Source organism: Homo sapiens, chromosome 6 (genome assembly GCF_000001405.40).
Source record: "Homo sapiens chromosome 6, GRCh38.p14 Primary Assembly".
In the NCBI taxonomy this organism is placed as follows: domain Eukaryota; kingdom Metazoa; phylum Chordata; class Mammalia; order Primates; family Hominidae; genus Homo; species Homo sapiens.
This window is the reverse complement of record NC_000006.12, coordinates 83663765-83683328: the sequence shown is the minus strand read 5'-3', so window position 1 is coordinate 83683328 and position 19564 is coordinate 83663765. Positions and strand designations below refer to the sequence as shown.

General features: G+C 36.6%; 1 protein-coding gene across 72 annotated transcripts in view; it reads left to right on the top strand.

Moving 5' to 3' along the window:
• SNAP91 (synaptosome associated protein 91) overlaps nucleotides 1-19564 on the top strand; it is a 156509-nt gene that overhangs the window by 26065 nt on the left and 110880 nt on the right. For 65 of the 72 annotated variants that reach the window (NR_164843.1, NR_164845.1, NR_164846.1 and 62 more), the window contains one exon: nucleotides 17748-17890. The exons of 2 other annotated variants lie outside the window; for them this stretch is intronic. Coding sequence is in view for 67 of the 70 variants with exons in the window: in NM_001242794.2 (NP_001229723.1) it covers nucleotides 17748-17890 (143 nt within the window). In the remaining 3 variants the exon portion in view is untranslated. Of the gene's footprint in view, nucleotides 1-4425; nucleotides 4552-8898; nucleotides 9021-10910; nucleotides 11061-17747; nucleotides 17891-19564 lie in introns of all 72 variants that reach the window. 5 more of the 72 variants (NM_001376723.1, NM_001376726.1, NM_001256717.2 and 2 more) reach the window with 4 other exon arrangements.

Genomic DNA, 19564 nt, shown 5'->3' with positions numbered 1-19564 from the left:
AATTTCAACATGATAGTTGGAGAGAAGAAATATCAAAACTGTATCACTTACTAAGAGAGTCTTGACTAAGAACAGAAGAGGACTGAGGAAATCATCTTAGGCACACCCATTATTTAAGAGATTGGGGGAAGAAGGAAGGGCCAGTAATGAAGGCTGAGAAGGAAAGACAGAGATAAGAAAAAGGCCAGAAAAGGGTGGTTTTCCCAAATCCCAGGAAATATGACTTTTAAAAACTAGGTCAGGATTGACACACAGAATAGGGTGGAAACTGGAGAGTGCCCATTGGTTTTGGCATTTTAGAGGACACAGCTGACCCTGGAGGAGATTAGGAAGCATGATGGGGATGATGGTCATATGGTAGAGGCTTCCAGAGGCTAGCTGGTTATAATGATGTCCCAAGTCTTGAGTGAAGAAATGGAGACAAAGAGAAGGTGTGAGATTAGGGAATCTAGAGTATAATACAGGCATAAGAGAGGGATCTTATGTTTCCTTTTCCTCAAAAAAAAAGGCTAATTTAAAGGGAATTGAACAATGAGAACACATGGACACAGGAAGGGGAACATCACACTCTGGGGACTGTTGTGGGGTGCGGGGAGGGCGGAGGGATACCATTAGGAGATATACCTAATGCTAAATGACGAGTTAATGGGTGCAGCACACCAGCATGGCACATGTATACATATGTAACTAACCTGCACGTTGTGCACATGTACCCTAAAACTTAAAGTATAATAATAATAAAATAAAAAAATTTAAAAAAATATATACTTAGAAGATACAGTGGACAGGGTATAATAGAAAGAATAAAGAAATAAAGAGATAGGCCAGGTGCAGTGGCTCAAGCCTATAATCCCAGCACTTTGGGAGGCTGAGGTAGGCAGATTGCTTGAGCCCAGGAGTTCAAGACCAGCTTGGGCAACATGGCGAAACTCCATCTCTACAAACAAACAAACAACAAACACACAAACAAAAACACAAAAATTAGCTAGGTGTGGTGGCATGTGTCTGTGGTCCCAGCTACTCAGTTGGAAGCTAAGGTCGGAGGATCTCTTGAGCCCAAGAGGTTGAGGCTTCAGTGAGCCATGATTGTACCACCGTACTCCAGCCTGCACAACAGAGCGAGACCCTGTCTCAAGGAAAAAAAAAAAAAAAAAAAGAATTAAAGAATAATGACAGAGTAGACAGAAGAAAGCCTGCTGCAGGAATGAGAGCCCAGAATATGGTGTGGCCTTAGGAAGGAGGAAGGACTCTTTTTTTCTCCAGGATTGGAGAGAGAAAACAGTGGACCATCATGTCACCAAATGGAAGTGAGGTCCAGAGGGTATCAGTAGAATTCAAGGAAGCTTTCATTAACCTGTGACTTAAAGAAACATTGCTGTGTGCTTATTGCTCCCCATTCTGTTACTTGATAATGGGTCCTCTGTGACCCATAGTTTCAAATTTAACCTAATATGGAGTTTAAACTGTTTTTCAGTCCAGGATTTTTGCCACCATTTGTCATTCTAGAACACTTGGGGGAATGGTAGACCAAGATTGGTCATCTTTTATACAGCTTATTATGTCCAGAGTTGATATTGATTGACAGATACCCCTCTCATCTCTCTTTCTCTCTCAACCCTTGCTCTCATAGAGCACTGCTGCTCAAAGTATACATCCCTTTAGTTACCTATATTTTATAGTATTCTGTACCTCCAGTAAATACAGTTCTTTTCTTTTTCTTGCTTGTTTTTCCCTTGATGTTTTCTAACTTTTTTTTTCTGAGCTGGCTAGTAATCTTTGTCATGTTGTAAACTATAGATGAATCTTCTGTGGATTTTTGTATATGTACCATTGGTCTTTATCTTGAGGATCTAAACAAATGAAGGAAAAGAGTTGAAGAGAAATGTAGGAAATAGACATCTTTCTCTTTGGACAGCAGGGCTTTAGAAAAGCTCTGAGGTTGTGTGTGTTGTTCCACAGGGCCTAGAGAGATAGAAAACCTCCTCAGAAGCAGTGACTGCTCCTGGTGAAAATCAAAGTTCAGGCCAATGCTATCTGGGGACCTTAGGAGAAGGAGGCAGCCAGGATAGGAAAGTTTGATAGGATTTTGTGGGAACCTACAATTGCTTCAGAAATTATTAGGTTGAGTTATATAAAATTGCTGATGGTGTTAACCATTTTTGACTGACAAAAAAGGTAATTTCATATAATTCAACCTAGTGATTCTAAGATATACTTTTGAATCATAACCCCTTCAAAAGCTAGGGACTCCTATGCTTGATTATGTGTGAGAGTCCCTTTTCTGTAAATCTTTTTTTGGTTATAATTGTAAGCACTATGCACACATATTAGGTTCTTACAGACTGTTACTCATGCAGCATGGTCATTTGGCCACAACCAAAACTAGGTAAGTATTGATCACAAGCTGGGACAGTTTCCCCGGGGTCCTACTGCAGCCCAACTTCAATCCCTGAGATCTCCAAATTCTTACTGTAGGCAAACAGTTCTCAACAGTCTACAACAATGTCTGGACATGCTTTTGATTGTCTTGGAGGGAAGGGGGATTCTATTGGCATCTTGTGGGTGGTGGTTAGGGATGCTGCTAAACATCCTCAATACACAAGACATCCCCTCATAATGAAGAATTTTCTGGCCCAAAATATCAGTAGTGCCAAGGCTAAGAAACTTGTTCTAGACTGAGCACTAGAGAACTCAAGAAAATACCCGCAAACTTGTATATCATCCTTTTTAGTGGTATGCAAAATTTATAAAGAGAAGGGCAGAACTAAGAAGAATTAAGTTTGGAGAAGATATAATAGAATAAAACAGATTGCCTAAATATCCTACAGTTGTGAAGCTGCCTGTCTGGTGAACATGCTCAGAGCACTTAGATTTGGATAGTTTTAAAAAAGAGTTGGGTCATCAGAGAGTGAGTTTTCGATGGAATGTGACAGTGCCAAATTTTTTCTACTGCTTGAATGAAAGGAAATGAAAACAAGAACAGAAGTTATAGAATAGGGTAAGAGGGACGTTGCCATACAGAAAGTAAAAATTTAAAACCTTACTTATTCCTTTTGAATTGAATAATTGATGTGTCTACTACTATGGTTACTGAGTTGGGTAACATTTTCGGGTACAAATAGTGGTATAGGTATGAATGGGGGGGAAGTAATATGATAAACTCTTTAATCCTAAATTTTTAAACTTGATTGAGAGAGGTCTAGCCTTTTATTTGGCATAAATTATCTGGGTGACCCAGAAGGTTCTGTAAATATATTTGACTGAGTTGCTTTTAGCTCTGAGAGCTATAAAGAGATATTAAGAGGTGTCCTTATAAAGAGCTGTTAATAATTGAGTATATGAAGCATTATCTGTGCTATGGGAAAGATAGCTGTATTTTCATTTAGGTTAACTTTTTGAAAAAAAAATGTAAGTGGACATGAGTAGTATATAATTTTGTGTTGCTGATTGTGAACACTGAAGCTTTTTAAATCTTAGAAATCACTTTATTCTAGAACTATATTCTGATTAATATTTAAGTTCTCCAGGTAGCTCTCCAAGCTTGAAGTGCATTGAAGCCTAGGGCTGAACTACTTGAAGAAACTAATCGTTGTTACAGTGTTTTAAGGATTAAAAACATAAAGTTCTATTTGGGGGTGTCAGAAAGATCTTTCCTCGCGACCCCAAGCTATAGTGGAAGTAGGAACTTCATTCATTTTTCTACCTGTTGGATAGAAGAGAATGGAACGGGTTGGCCTGGTCAAGGATCTCAGATGTGCAGGGCCTTGTAGAAAAAGAAGAGATAGGGATGGGGCCTGGGGCTTCAGGGGTAGACCTACTGAAAAATTTGCCTTTCTGCTGCTGTCGACTTTTATTTCTAAATTTCTGCCCAGTCTTCATTTCTCCCCACAATTTACTTATCAGCAAATGTAGTCTCAGCAACTTCTCTTCAGTGTTTTTAAAGAAGTGTAAAAACCATTTTTTAAAAAACTAGTTTCCCTTTTCTTTTTTTCCCCTAGGAATTAAGGATATTTATGGAGGGGAAGCTTAAATTCAGGTGTCCCTGAGTATCTATGGTGGATTGATTCCAGGACTCCCTGTGGATACCAAATCCCGTGGAAGCTCAAGTCCCTGATATAAAATGTAGTGTTTCCATATAACCTGTGAACATTCTCCTGTGTGCTTTAAGTCATCCCTGGATTACTTATAATACCTAATACAATGGGAATGCTATATAGATAGTTGTTATCCTATATTGGTTTTCTATTTGTATTTTTTTAATTGTTGTATTTTGTGTGTGTGTGTGGTGGTTTTCTTTTCAAATATTTTCCATCTGAGTTTGGTTGAATCTGAGGATGTGGACCTTGTGGATATAGAAGGCCAGCTGTATTTTTTTTTTTCATTTCACTTAGATATTATTTCTTTCTTTTTACTTAAATCCTGCAGTAAAGTAAAATGATGTACTGAGAACTAAAGTTGTATTCCTTGGTACTTCCGAGAGAAAACAGACTTGGATTTTTATTGGATGATTCCTCCTAGGAAGTAAGATGAGGGCGTTCAAGAATAATAACAGTAAGGCTTTGGTAAGGCCAAAGAGGTGGGATAATGCTGGGAGATGGTGCCAAGGATTCTCAATAGGGGAGGAGCAGGAGTGGAAGGTAGAAGGTTAGATCCAGTGCTGTGATAACCTTGGAATGAAAAATAGAAAAGAATTTGAGAGACATCTTAGAGATTAGGTTATAGATACAGCAAAGGAGAAAAGTCCCAAATGCCTGCAGCAGCAGTTGCCATTTCTGAACTATTTATTTTTAGGAAACATAAGTTTCACGTGTGTGGGTAGGCAGCTTGATTGGAACAGAAAACTGATGCCTTGTGTCTGCTTTTTGAGTCCCATTTATGAAACGCTGTTTTTTTTATGGCTCGAGAGCACTCTACCAGGAAGTATTGAATATAAGGAGTTAAATAAGGATAAAATAGCTATTCTTTTCTGAGGATAGAGTAGGAAGTGATGGGTTGTGGTTAGAGCATGAGGGTTAGATATTTTTAAAAGATGTTCAGGGCTGGTCAATCGGTGTTGGGAGATGGTAAGTTAACCAATATGGTAAATTCTTCTCTAGAGACACCTAAAATACTGTTTTGGAGATAATTTGAATGTAAACTCCTGAAGTTTACTTTTAGTTCAAGATTCTTTGAAAAAGAAAAAAACCTCAAGGCTGTCATGTAAATAGGACATGTGTTAATTTACCTGACATACTTGAAGACTAGACATGGTAATTGATCATTGTGTGGCAGTAGCAGGAAATCAGTAACCCAAGCTGCTCATATCTTCTAAAATCTCCCTAGCAACAAAGTCAGCAAAGGCCATCCTTCCAGCAATTACTGCCAGCTTAGAGAACTGGCTTGAGATTCTTTGTGGATTGCCCAGAACACCAAGATCTTCTGTTTCAGTAGTCTGTTACAAATGGTCATCTTCCACCTCTATAGAATGATCTGTGTTTTTACTTATCCTTTTAAAGTTCTATTCCTGTAAATTTCTGATTCTTAAAGCACAGAGTTCTTTTGAGAATCCCATGACAATTTATAAGAAAACACTCAAAAGAGGATAAAATATAAAAGCAATGTAGTATTACAGCTGGCATGCATGTATTATTTCTACCTCACAGAAAACTGTAGGATAAGGAAATTGAATTACATGCTTAAGGTCACATTGTTAATGCCACAACAAGCTGTGCACAAACCCTAAAAGACAAAAATATAAATTTCCAATTTTTGTCTAAATAATTTTCTACTACCCTAAGGATTGACAATATTTGGCACACGGGCAGCTTCTCTCCACCATCCCCTTCTGAAGTAATAGTGGTGCATGGCCCTAGTTTCAGACTCATGCACATGGTTGGAAATTTTGCTGGCTCTTTGGAGCTCTGTGAGTTCATGGTGTTACATTCATGGTCATTATCTCCTCTACTCTAACTGGTCAGAAGAATCATAATCAGTAATTTATAATGTTCATTTTGAAGTGTTGCTGATGCCTGTACCTCAGACTGGTCTACATTGAGAGCATTTTGGGGTATAGCTTGCCAGTGATTCTGAAATGACTGACATAACTCTGAGGGTACCCCCTTACCTGCTCTGTAGAAAGTAGACATCCCTTTGGATGTGTCTCAAACATTGCACAAGGCATGGGGTCTCCTGTGGTTGGGAATGAAGTCAAGGAAGAGAGTGACAACTAGGTGGAAGTGGGTGGAAAGAGAAACATGAACTAGATACAAGCACGGCTCACCTACAGTGTTTTTCTTTCCTTTTTCCAGAGAGTGTACAAGAGGTATTTTGTCCAGTTGTTCAGGGGCTGCAAGCTTATCATTCTTTGTTCCTTTTGGTATCTAATGTCCTCTTTCCCACATCAAATCTATCAGCTATTCCTCTTGGCTCTGCCTTTGGAATATCCAGAATCCTACCTTTTGTTTTCCTGCTTCTATCCCATTGCCACACTAATATAAGCTCATTAACACCACTCACCTGAACTATTAAAATAACCTCTTTTATTTGTCTCCCTGACTCCCCTTTCCTCACCCAGTCTTTGCTCCATATAGCCACCATAGTAATTCTTCAAAATAAAACTTGACTCACAATACTCCCCTGACCAAAACCCTCTAGCAGCTTCCCATTACATTTTGAATGAAATATCAAGTCCCTTCTGTGACCTATAATGCTATAATGCACAGAGTTGTCTGGAACCTGGTCAGTTCTCTGTCCACCACTCCGTCCCTTGCTTGCTCTTCTCCAGTCACACTGGCTTTCTGGTTCTTTCTTGAATCCATCAGGCATGCCCTTGCCTTAGGACCTTTGCTTTTGCTGCTTTCCTCTGCCTGGAATGTTCCTTCCCAAGATGACTGAATCGCTGGCTTTCTCACTACATTTAGACCACTTTAAATTTCATTTCCTTGGGGAGGCCTTTTCTGATCACCCTATCTGAAGCAGTATCCTCTATCTATTTCTCTTCTTACTTTTTTATTTTTCATAACATTATCTGTGCTCGACATTGTATGTCTAGTTGTCTGCGTGTTTCCTCCATTAGAATGTGTGCTCCATGAAGGCAGACACTGTCTGTTTTGTTCACTGCTATTATATCTAGATGATAGATAGAACAGTGCCTGGCACATAGCAGGCACTAAATAAAAATGTGTTAATGAATTAATATATTAATCAACAAAGTATGTCACATTCTTTTTTTTTTTTTTTGAGATAGGGTCTTGCTCTGTTGCCCAAGTTGGAGTGCAGTGAGGCAATCATAGTTCATTGTAACCTTGAATTACTGGGCTCAAGTGATCTTCCCACCTCAGCCTCCCAGCAGCTAGGACTTTTTGTAGAGATGATGATGTCTAGCCATTTTGCCCAGTCTGGTCTCGAACTCCTGGCCTCAAGCAATCTTCCTGCCATGGCCAAATCTTTTTTGACATTGGCAGCCAAAGGGTGAATCTAATTATAACTCTGTGTGTGTGTGTGTGTGTGTGTGTGTGTGTGTTCCTTCAAGTGTATCAGGCTCTGTGCTATATACTTTGCTTGCATTACCTAGTTTAGTAAAACAGCTGTCAGGTAGGTGCTATTATTATCTCCCTTACGGTAATAAAGAAATGGAGGTTAAGAGAGGCAACTTTGCTCAAGTTCACACAGTATTAAATAATATAAGGTAATTGAACTAGGTCTCCTCTGGCTCCAAAATCTTAACTCAATAACTGTGATATATGCTGCGTTTCCTAATTTTGAATCTGCCAAAATCCTATTGGGGAACAAATAGTGTAAGAGAATTTTTGTAGCATATATTTCCACAGAGGACTACAAAAAATTACAAAGTATATATATTTTTTTCAAAATGAAAGAAGTTACTGAAATAGTTTAGAAACTAGATTACGTTAAAGTTCACATGTTAATGAAGAAATACAAGTATTTATTCAGGTATATCAACTAAAGTAAATAATGTTACTTTGAAGTTCACATGTTAATATAAAAATACAAGTATTCAGCTGTATCAACTAAAGTAAATAATGTATTTTAAAGCTCACATTATCTTTCTATTTAAAGCATTTATTTGAGGAAGGATATCTGTTGTTAAATTCTACAAATAAAATTTATTGTATTAGGCATATTTATAAGCTGCTCCCCTTTATCTCTATAAGCTTAGAGGGTGTCTATTCTTTTCTTACTTGCCCTATTCATCCATTGTCTACAGTTAGCAATTAAAGGTTATCACTTCTTATTCTTGTTTTCCCCTCCTTTGTTCTCATTTATGCAGTTCTCAGCACCTCCCCTTCAGGTATCCCTCCCACCTAAACCGTCAGTAGGTCGTTTCATTTGACAATGGAGAGCCCCTCTAGCTCAGTCTCGCCTAGACTTACACAGTTCACCCAATACCTCTCCTTAGCCTCCCTTCTTCTGGGAAGTGCATGAAATGTCCAATATCCTCTTTAGATTCCTGTTCTGATGATTTCCCTGTCTTTCCCATGTTACCTCAGAACTTCTATATGCATAATTTATATTTTATAAAATTGTTTCACATTGTTAGGTCTTCATTCCGCATGGGAAAAAGATAGCCCCTTTCTCCTTCCCGAAATATAACCCATTAAATATCTGTAACCAACTCACCTGAAACTGAACTTAGAAAGGGCTCTTATCCCACAGGAAGACACTACTAGAATTTTGAACATTCTTTGAAAGCATAGAAGCCTTGAGATTTTGAGGAGCAGTAAGATACTCAGAGAAACTTAGAGCTGGAAGATACTTGAGAGGCCATAGGTCTGGTTCCTTTTCTTTGGTGTTTTGTTGTAGCTTGTATTACTTAGCATGCATTTGGTTGCAAGTAACAGAATACCCCAACTAAGGACAAAACAATAAAATTATTTATTATCTTTCTTTTTTTTTGAGATGGAATCTTGCTCTGTCGCCCGGGCTGGAGTGCAGTGGCACTATCTCCACTCACAGCAACCTCTGCCTCCCTGGTTCAAGCAATTCTCCTGCCTCAGCCTCCCAAGTAGCTGGGATTACAGGTGCCCACCACTGTGCCTGGCTAACTTTTTTGTATTTTTAGTAGAGACAGGGTTTCACCAGGTTGGCCAGGCTGAGATCAGGTTTCAAACTCCCGACCTCAAGTGATCCGCCCGCCTCGGCCTCGCAAAGTGCTGGGATTATAGGCGTGAGCCACCACAACTGGCCTACTGTCTTTCTTAACAAGAAGTTCCCAGCAAGGGTACTTCCAGGGTTTGATTTTCAGTTAAAAACAAAACAAACAAACAAACAAAAAACATGATTCAGACCCAGGTGCTTTCTATAACTCCCATCTGTTATCTTCAACTTATAGATGAAGTCTGTCCTCCTGTTGAGATGGCCATGACATCACATGCATACACAACAACATTCTTGATGGAGAAGAGACATGTTTCCATCCTGTTTATTATATTAATAACAACTGTTTATTATGAAAGAAAGAGTCTTCCCAAGTGACTCAGCAGACTGCTGCTTACATATCTAGCTACAAGGGAAGCCTGGATTGCACCTGTCTGGCATTTTGGCCTTTCTGATGGGCAGAGAAGGGATGGGGGCAGGATTCTGCTGGCAAAGAAGAGGGAAGGAATAGCTGTTGGTGAGGCAATGTTAATGTCTGTCATTTGTGCTGAACCCAAGAAGAAAAACGTCTGAATCATCTGTATCACTTTTTCGTATTGTCTGGATAGCAACAATTTATTTCTGTTTACAAATGTTTGCAAGTTTGAACTCTTTGATTGTTGTTAACTAGAAGAGAGGGATCAAGGAAGGGAGGGAGGTACAATGGATATTAGTTTGCAGGGGCTACCAAAACATCATAGACTAGATGCTTATAAACAACAGAAATTTGGTTCTCACAGTTCTGGAGATAGGAAGTCCAGCATAGTCAGGTTTTGGTGAGGGGTCTCTTCTGTACTGCACACTGCTGACTTCTCATTGTGCCCTTGCATGGAGGAAAGAACTAGTATGCTCTCTGGGGACTCTCTTATAAGATACTAATCCCATTCATGAGGCCTCTACTCTCATGACATAATCATCTCCCACAGTCTTCCTCTCCTAATACCATTACATTGGGGGTAGATTTCAACATATGAATTTGGCTGAGGGGACACAAATATTCAGTCCATAACAGAAAGAGAAGAAGGAAGGAATGAGATGTAAATTTAAAAGAATTACAATGAATAATCTTGCATATATATATAAGCTTGTCCATGTGGCAAATATTCTGAGCTATTATTATGTGACAGGAATATTTTAAAACTGCATTTTAGTGTGACCTTGGACTTTGGTCTGTAGTTTCTCATTTCTCCTTGTGGAAGCTCAAGTTTACAAGATGATTATAAAATAAAAGAATGACCAGTTTTTATTCCCCTTTCTGACATTTGTGCAAAGGAAAATTGCTGTACTAGTGGGGTTTTACAGAGTCATATAATTAAACTTAGGGAGAGATTTTAAAATGGAATAGAGGATACTTTCCTAAATTAGGCTGCTGATAAAAGTATACATAACAATGAAATAGAAAGTAACTCTTTCTAATTTGTTGATTCACTTATGTCTAGTAAGAGTTATTGAGAGAATTGGCCTATAATATCTACTATTAATTTTAGTATGAAAGTATTTTAGATTCAGGCATATGACAAGCCAGTTACAGCCATCTTTCATTTACTAAGTGTCTTTTATACATGAAGACCTGTGGTAGGTACTAGGGATCCATAAATACAGATATGGCCCCCTTATTACCTGTTAGACCTTGAGCTCCAGTCGGGGAGAGACCTATGTAGACTAACAATGATAATTCTGTGTAATAAGGACTACAGTAGAGTCATATAGGGTGATAATTACCACAAATGACAGTGTTCATCACATAAAATAGTTAATATTATTCTTATTTCTAGGTGAAAAAAAAAATGGAGCTGCAGAGTGGTCAAATTAACTTGTCCATAAGTAGCAGAGTGAGATTGTGAACTAGGCCTCTTGCCCCCAGTCCCATGTCCTTTGCCTTACTTGCATGGAAGAGAAAATCAAAGCCTCTCTTCTATTTGAAGGTAATATCAGAAAAGACTTCGTGGAGAATATTGTATTTGAGATTGATCTTGAGAGATGAGCTCTCTATAGAGTGAAGGCAGAGACGTTCTAGGCAATGAGAATAGCACGTAAAGGTATCATAATTTTGTTGGCACAATTTGTAGCAGAGAAAAGATTAGTAAGGTAGCTGAGTCTTCTGATGAGAGGCCGTATACTCAAAATATAAGGTATAAAGTACATACTTCAGACATTTATATTTTATTAAATGGACAGCAGTAGGCCCCAGGGGGTTTTGAGCAAGTGACAGCTATGATCAGAAGGGCACACATGGGTAATTAATTTTTCACAAAAGTATCTAGTTGTGCTGGAGATGACTCAGAGAAGAGTTTATAGAGCAGTCCAAGCAACAGATAACAAGGGCCCTGTCATAAACAGCTATCTTTTCCTAGGATTTAAGTGATTGACAATCTCATATAGTAGTGGGAAAAGAAGTAGGTGACCACAAATTTGAGAACTATTTATATTTGTTGCTATTTTCTTGTTTTAGTGAACAATTACTTATATCTCCTGAAAGTTAAAGTTGTCTTTCTGCTTATACCTATTTCCTTCATTCTCTTGTTTATGAAAATCTCACCTTAGAGAGATTTAATTAATCTTTCTAAGATTAATTTTCAATTGCTTCAAACTACCAAAAAGAGAGACTGATACTTTGTGGCAAGATGGGGTAACAAGTAACAGAGTGAGATTGTCTTTATTTTCACTCATGCCTAAGACAACCAAAACACTGGACAAAAGCATATTAAATAAGTGTTGTCAGTATATTGAACACCAGGCAAAGTAAAACTGAATTTATCACAAGTGACATGATCATACATGCAGAAAATGTGATGGATTCTACCAAAAAGAACTGATAAGGAAGTTTAGCAGAGTTTCAGAATACAAGATCAAGATACAGAAATCATTTATATTTCTCAATATTGGCAAGAACATTTAGATACTGAAATGAAAAATAAATATCCCCATATCTTGAAGAAGTATAAAACATTAGGAATGCATCTGGCAAAATATGTGTAAGACTGATGTACTGAAAAGAACAAAACATTGCTGAGAGAAATTAAAGACCAAAATAAATAGACAGACCATGTACATGGATTGTAAAACTCAATATTGTTAAGATGCCAGTTTACCCCAAATTGATCTATAGGGTCAACATAATCCCATTCAAAATCCCAGAAGACTTTTTTGTTGCTGTTAAAGTTGATAAGCTCAGTCTAAAACTCATACGGAAATACAAAGGACCTAAAAAAGCCACAAACCATTTTGAACAAAATATAATAAACTTGAAGGGCTAACACTATCTGATTTTATGAATTATGATAAATTTATAGTAATCAAAGTAGTGTGGTATTGGTATAAAGACAGACAAATAGGTCAACAGAACAGAATAAAGAGTCCTAAAAGAGACTCAAAGATTTGTGGTCCATTTATTTTTGACAAAGATGCAAAGGCAATTCACTGGAGAAAGAATAGTTTTTTTTCAGCAAATGGCATTGGAAAAATTTGATATCCATATGCAGAAAAATGAAACATCCATACCTCATGCCATTTATAAAAACTAACAATGTATTATTGACCTAAGTGTACGTACAACCCTAAAACTATAAAATGTGTAGAAGAAACGTAGAAAATCTTTGTGACCTTGGATTAAGCAAAGATTTCTTAAAAGAAAACCTCCATAAATAGGACTTCATCATAATTAAAAATTTCTGTTCTTTCAAAGACACTGTTAAGAAAATGAAAAGGGAAGCCATAGATTTAGAGGAAATATTTGCAAGTCACATGTATGATAGAGGACTTGATCCAGAATAACTCAATAATAAAATAATCCAATAAAAATAGGAAAAGAATGTATACCAATGGCAAATAAACAAATGAAAAGCTCGTGACATAAATGTTTAACACCATTATAGTCATTAGGGAAATGCAAAGAAAAACCACCGAGAGATATCACAACATACCTGTTATAATAGAAAAAAAAAAAAAAGGACCATATCAAGTCTTAGCAGAGATGTAGAGCAACTAGAATGCTCATACACTGCTGGTGGTAATGTAGCATGGTAGAAATGCCATCAGGCAAGAAAGTAGTTCCCTAAAATTAAATATTTGAACTTGGGAAGATATATCTGGTATCTTTTTGGTAGTTTGAAAAACAGCTTTCTGAAAGCAGTTCCCTAAAATTAAATGTTTACTTAAAAATGACTCAACTATTCTACTTCTAGAAAATTACCCAAGAGAAATGAAGGCATATGTCCGTATAAATAGATATATGTAAATGTTCATAGCAGCTTTATTTGTAATCACCAAAAACTGGAATCACCCTTAATTGTTCATCAACAGGTGAATGAATAAATAATTTTTGTATGTTCATCTAATGGAATACACCTCTACAATAAAAAGGAATGAATTATTGATACATTCAATAACATGGATAAATCTCAAAGTAATTAGCTAACTGAAAGAATCCAGACATTCCCTCTCAAGAAAAAAGTTTTATTCCCTTCACATAAAATTTAGAATATGCAAACTAATTTATATTGACTGAAAGCAAATTGGTGGTTGCTAAGGGACAGCAGGAGAAGAGAAAGAGGAATTTTTAAAGGGTATGGGGAAACTTTTGGAGGTGATGGATATGTTCATTATCTTATTTTTGGTTTTGGTTTTATGAGTGTATAGGTTTGTCAAAACTTATCAAATAGTACACTTTACATATGTGCAATTCTAATATCAACTATACTTCAATAAAGCTGTTTCATAAACTACCAAAAAGATACCAGATATATCTTCCCAAGTTCAAATAAAACTTAGAATTCTAAGAAACTGATACATGACCTATACATAGCATTTAGATCTCACAATTTTTAAGAATTTTTTCTGTGTGTTTGTATCTATACTTTATTTTTTTAAATTCTTTAAATGAAAATTATCTTTTTGGTGAGAGAGTAGAGAAGTAGAAACTTATATAATAACTACTTATGAGAGCATTTGAAGCAATGACTATGGAAAAACACTTTTAAGTATGTGCATACCCTACAACCTAGCAATTCTCTTTCTAGGTATACAGATGGCCATGACCTATGATGGTTCGACCTCTGAGTTTTCAACTTTACAATGGTGTGAAACAATTCTGTTTTTCACGTTCAGTACAGTATTCAATAAATTACATGACATATTCAACACTTTATTATAAAATAGGCTTTGTGTTGGATGACTTTGCCCAACTATAGGCTAATGTCAGTGTTCTCAGCACATTTAAGGTAGGCTAAGCTAAGCTATGATGTCCAGTAGGATTGGTGTGTTAAGTGCATTTTCAACTTAATAATATTTTCAACTCACAGTGGGTGTATAAGATGTTACCCACAATAAGTCAAGGAGTGTCTATAGATGAAGAATAGTTGCTCTCAAACTGGTCTCAAGACTCTTTTGTACTCTTAAATTACTAACGAACTGAAAAAGCTTTTGTGTATGTGAGATATTTACTATATTAAAAATTACTCGTCACTTACATTAGGTACATCTCCTAATGCTATCCCTCCCCCTTCCCCTACACCACAACAGGCCCCGGTGTGTGATGTTCCCCTTCCTGTGTCCATGTGTTCTCATTCTTCAATTCCCACCTATGAGTGAGAACATGTGGTGTTTGGTTTTTTGTTCTTGCGATAGTTTGCTGAGAATGATGGTTTCCAGCTTCATCCATGTCCCTACAAAGGACATGAACTCATCATTTTTTATGGCTGCATAGTATTCCGTGGTGTATATGTGCCACATTTTCTTAATCCAGTCTATCATTGATGGACATTCGGGTTGGTTCCATGTCTTTGCTATTGTGAATATTGCTGCAATAAACATACGTATGCATGTGTCTTTATAGCAGCATGATTTATAATCCTTTGGGTATATACCCAGTAATGGGATGGCTGGGTCAAATGGTATTTCTGGTTCCAGATCCTTGAGAAATTGCCACACTGTCTTCCACAATGGTTGAACTAGTTTACAGTCCCATCAACAGTGTAAAAGTGTTCCTATTTCTCCACATCCTCTCCAGCACCTGTTGTTTCCTGACTTTTTAATGATCACCATTCTAACTGGTGTGAGATGGTATCTCATTTGGTTTTGCTTTGCATTTCTCTGATGGCCAGTAATGATGAGCATTTTTTCATGTGTCTGTTGGCTGCATAAATGTCTTCTTTTGAGAAGTGTCTGTTCATATCCTTTGCCCACTTGTTGATGGGGTTGTTTGTTTTTTTCTTGTAAATTTGTTAGAGTTCTTTGTAGATTCTGGATATTAGCCCTTTGTCAGATGAGTAGATTGCAAAAATTTTCTCCCATTCTGTAGGTTGCCTGTCCACTCTGATGGTAGTTTCTTTTGCTGTGCAGAAGCTCTTTAGTTTAATTAGATCCCATTTGTCAATTTTGGCTTTTGTTGCCGTTGCTTTTGGTGTTTTAGACATGAAGTCCTTGCCCATGCATATACCTAATGTACATGACGAGTTAATGGGTGCAGCACACCAACATGGCACATATATACGTATGTAACAAACCTGCACGTTGTACACATGTACCCTAGAACTTAAAGTATAATAAAAAAATATAAAAATCAAAATAAAAATTACAACTGGGACAGTTTTTTAAAATTCACTTTTAAATAATAATAAATCTGTTAACATGTTACATATAAACATGTTAATACAAATAATACTTTTAGGGGAAATGATAGTTCTCAAAAAAAAGCAGTGAAAAGAATATTATCATTTTATATTTTTATAAATCTTTTTAATTTCTTACTCAATAAAAGACCAGCATTTATATCTGTTTCTGTAATCAACCTGTTTGCATATATTATTTTAGTTAGAGTGTGTGAAGAAAATCTGGCCTCATAAAGATACTCAGTTAGAAAAATGAGAACTGTTTTAATAACCTTTTCAGAAAATTGTGAATATTCTTTGATACTACACTACAATTCTCCAAGTTGTAGTTTCTTAAGTTTAAATTGCAACCTTGACTCTGAAACTGTATCAGTGAACTGTTTATCTTCTGTTACGTTTAAATGCATTGGTCTATATGGTACTTTGAATGCATTTTTTTACCCATGCGTTATTTTGTAATGTTATGCGCTAGTCATTTGGAAAATATTGGTTCACTGAGTTATTTACACCTTCCAATGTTGACTCATTTGATTATTTTAGCTAAAGTATGTCTTTTATACATTTTGCTCAATAAATATTGTACACAGTGCTCTGCAAAGTGTTGTATGTGAAACAGACATTACTGCTTTTAAGGAGCTGTGATATGGTAGAAATTATGACAAATATACATCTATTCTGAACACCCAGCAGGAACAAAGTACCTCACGTTTTAAAGCACAGGAAGGCCACATGGGACTGCATTTGAAAGGGGCCAGGAAAGACTTCCTGAAGGATGAGTAAAAGTCCAATAAAGGAAAATATTGAGAGAAGGGTGTTGATGGGAAGGGGATGATGACAGAAATTTAAAATCAGTATAAATTAAGAAATAAGCCTGCCTTGATCCACTTATAATTCCGAACAGTTATTGATATCCTTTAGTCTAAGGAGTTTAGATATTTTTCAGTGGTAGAATATCAATTTTTAAAAACATTTATTGTGAAGAGAAATGCAATGCATAAAATGTATAGTTTAATGATTACTGAGTGTGGATTTGGAGTAAGAAGAATACATGTGCATGTTTGTTGCAAGCGCATGTTTGTTGCATGGGATTGCCTAGGAACTGGGTATCACATGCAGGTCTCTGCAAGATAAGTGTGGACTGTAACAGAAGTCATGCAGTGTCTGCTGTCCTGAAGAGGTCATCCTGTACTGTTGGAAGTACTTAAGTCTGTACTGTCCCACTGTGGCTTAGCTTCTGTTCCTTAGCACATGATCTTTGGTTGTCCCAGCTAACTCTTTGACAGCATTAACTGCTTTTCTGAATGCTGGGCACTCCCTGTTGGCCAGTAGATAATTTTTTTAAAAAATACACCTGGACTCATACTAATAGATGTGAACAGTGAATGTATTATAAAGGTTTACTCTCTTACAAACTCAGGTTAAATTATAGTAATTTAATGCATGCATGTTGTTCTACAAAAGCTTACATGTGTACAAAATTCTTTTCTCTTTTAATATTTGACCTCATCCTGCCACTCATATGACAAGTGTATTTACTAGCACCTTTCAAAGTTCAAATGCAAATGAGATATGCTTTTAGCTGTTAAGTTTGAAGAGTACATTTATGTTATTGCCTTCAAATGGCATATAGAATAAGTGCCCACATTTGAGACATTGTGCTTATAGCAGTAACAAAGAAGATTAAATACATGAGGCTTAGCCTTCCTGGAGTTTATAATTTTAAAAATGGCATAAGTACCAGCAAACAGGTAAATTCAGAAGAGAGTACAGAAGAAAATTAAGTAGCAAAATATACTCAAGAATAAATAAATATATTGGGTAAATAATATATGTACATGTCCATGGGTAAAATATTACAGTTTAATTTTTTAAATTTTGTTATCAGCTATTATCAAAGTACTTTTAAGGTCATATATTAGTAAACAGGCTTATATGTTCCAAGTTTGAAATGAATTTTTGCATGTAATTGTTAATATCATTGATTAATATCTTCTATTTTCATAGATTTGATCCAGGCTACCAACGAGACCAATGTTAATATTCCTCAGATGGCCGACACTCTCTTTGAGCGGGCAACAAACAGTAGCTGGGTGGTTGTGTTTAAGGCTTTAGTGACAACACATCATCTCATGGTGCATGGAAATGAGGTAAACTAAGTAAACTTTTCTTTTTTTGATGGAGGAAGGAGGCTTTTAGGAAGAGCATGGTGATGATTTAAGGCTCTTTGAATTTTCACTAATTAGGAGAAAAAGAAAAGGAAATACACAGTTCCGGATCATCTAGAATACAAGTTTAATCTTCTCCTTAGCTAGTTAACAAAAAATAAACTTTAAGTTAGACATTGTCTTAGAGATATGAGGAATAGGTACACCTCAGAGATATTGCAGGTTTGATTCCAGACCACTGCAAAAAAAAGCTAATATTGCAATAAGCGAGTCACACAAATGTTTTGGTTTCCCAGTGCATGTAAAAGTTACATTTACATTTATACTGTACTCTATTAAGTGTGCAATAGTATTATGTCTAAAAAAAGTACATATCTTAATTTAAAAATCCTTTATTGCTAAAAAATTATTATCAAATGATCATCTGAGTCTTCAGTGAGTTGTAATCTTTGCTGGTAGAAGGTCTTGCCCTGATATTGATGGCTGCTGACTGATTAGGATGGTGGTTGCTGAAGGTTGAAGTAATTGCAGAAGTCTCTTAAAATAAGACAACAGTGAAGTTTGCCACATCAATTGACTCTTCCTTTTACAAAAGATTTCTCTGTAGCATTCAATGCTCTTTGACAGCATTTTATCTACAGCAGAACTTCTTTGAAAATTGGAGTCAATCCTCTCAAACCTTGCTATTGCTTTATCAGCTGTTTATGTAATTTCTATATCCTTTGTTGTTATTTCAACAATGTTCACAGTATCTTTACCAGAAGTAGATTTTATCTCAAGAAACTACTTTCTTTCTCGTCCATAAGAAGCAACTCCTCATCCATTCAAATTTTATCATGAGATTATAGCAATTCAGTCCCATCTTCAGGCTCCATGTCCAATTCTAGTTCCCTTGCTATTTTCCCACACATCTGCAGTTACTTCCTCTACTGGTCTTGAATCCCTCAAAGTCATCCATAGGGGCTGAAATGCTCTTCTTCCAGATTCCTGCTAATGTTGCTATCTGTATGTCCTCCCATGAATCACAAATGTTTTTAATGGCATCTAGAATGGTCAATCTTTTCTAGAAGGTTTTCAATTTACTTTGCCCACATCCATCAGAGGAATCACTATCTGTGGTAGCTATAGCCTTACAAAATGTATTTCTTAAATAACAAGACTTGAAAGTAAAAATTACTCCTTGATCCATGGGCTGCACAATGAATGTTGTGTTAGCAGTCATGAAAACAACGTGCATCTCTTTGTGCATCTCCATCAGAGCTCTTATGGTGACAAGGTGCATGTCAATGAGCAGTAATATTTTGAAAGGAATCTTTTTTTCTGAGCAGTAAGTCTCAACAGTGGGCTTCAAATATTCAGTAAACCATACTATAAACAGAGTGTGCTATCATCCGGGCTTTGTTGTTCCATTTATAGAGCACAGGCAGAGTAGGTTTAGTGTAATTCTTAAGGGCCCTAGATTTTCAGAATGGTAAATGAGCATTGACTTTCACTTCATGTCATCAGCTGCATTAGCCCCTAACAAGAGAGTCAGGCTGTCCTTTGAAGTTTTGAAGTCAGGTACTGTATTCTCCTTTCTAGATAAGAAAGTTCTAGATGGCATCTTCTTCCAATTGAAGGCTGCTTTATCTACATTGAAAATCTGTTTCATGTAGC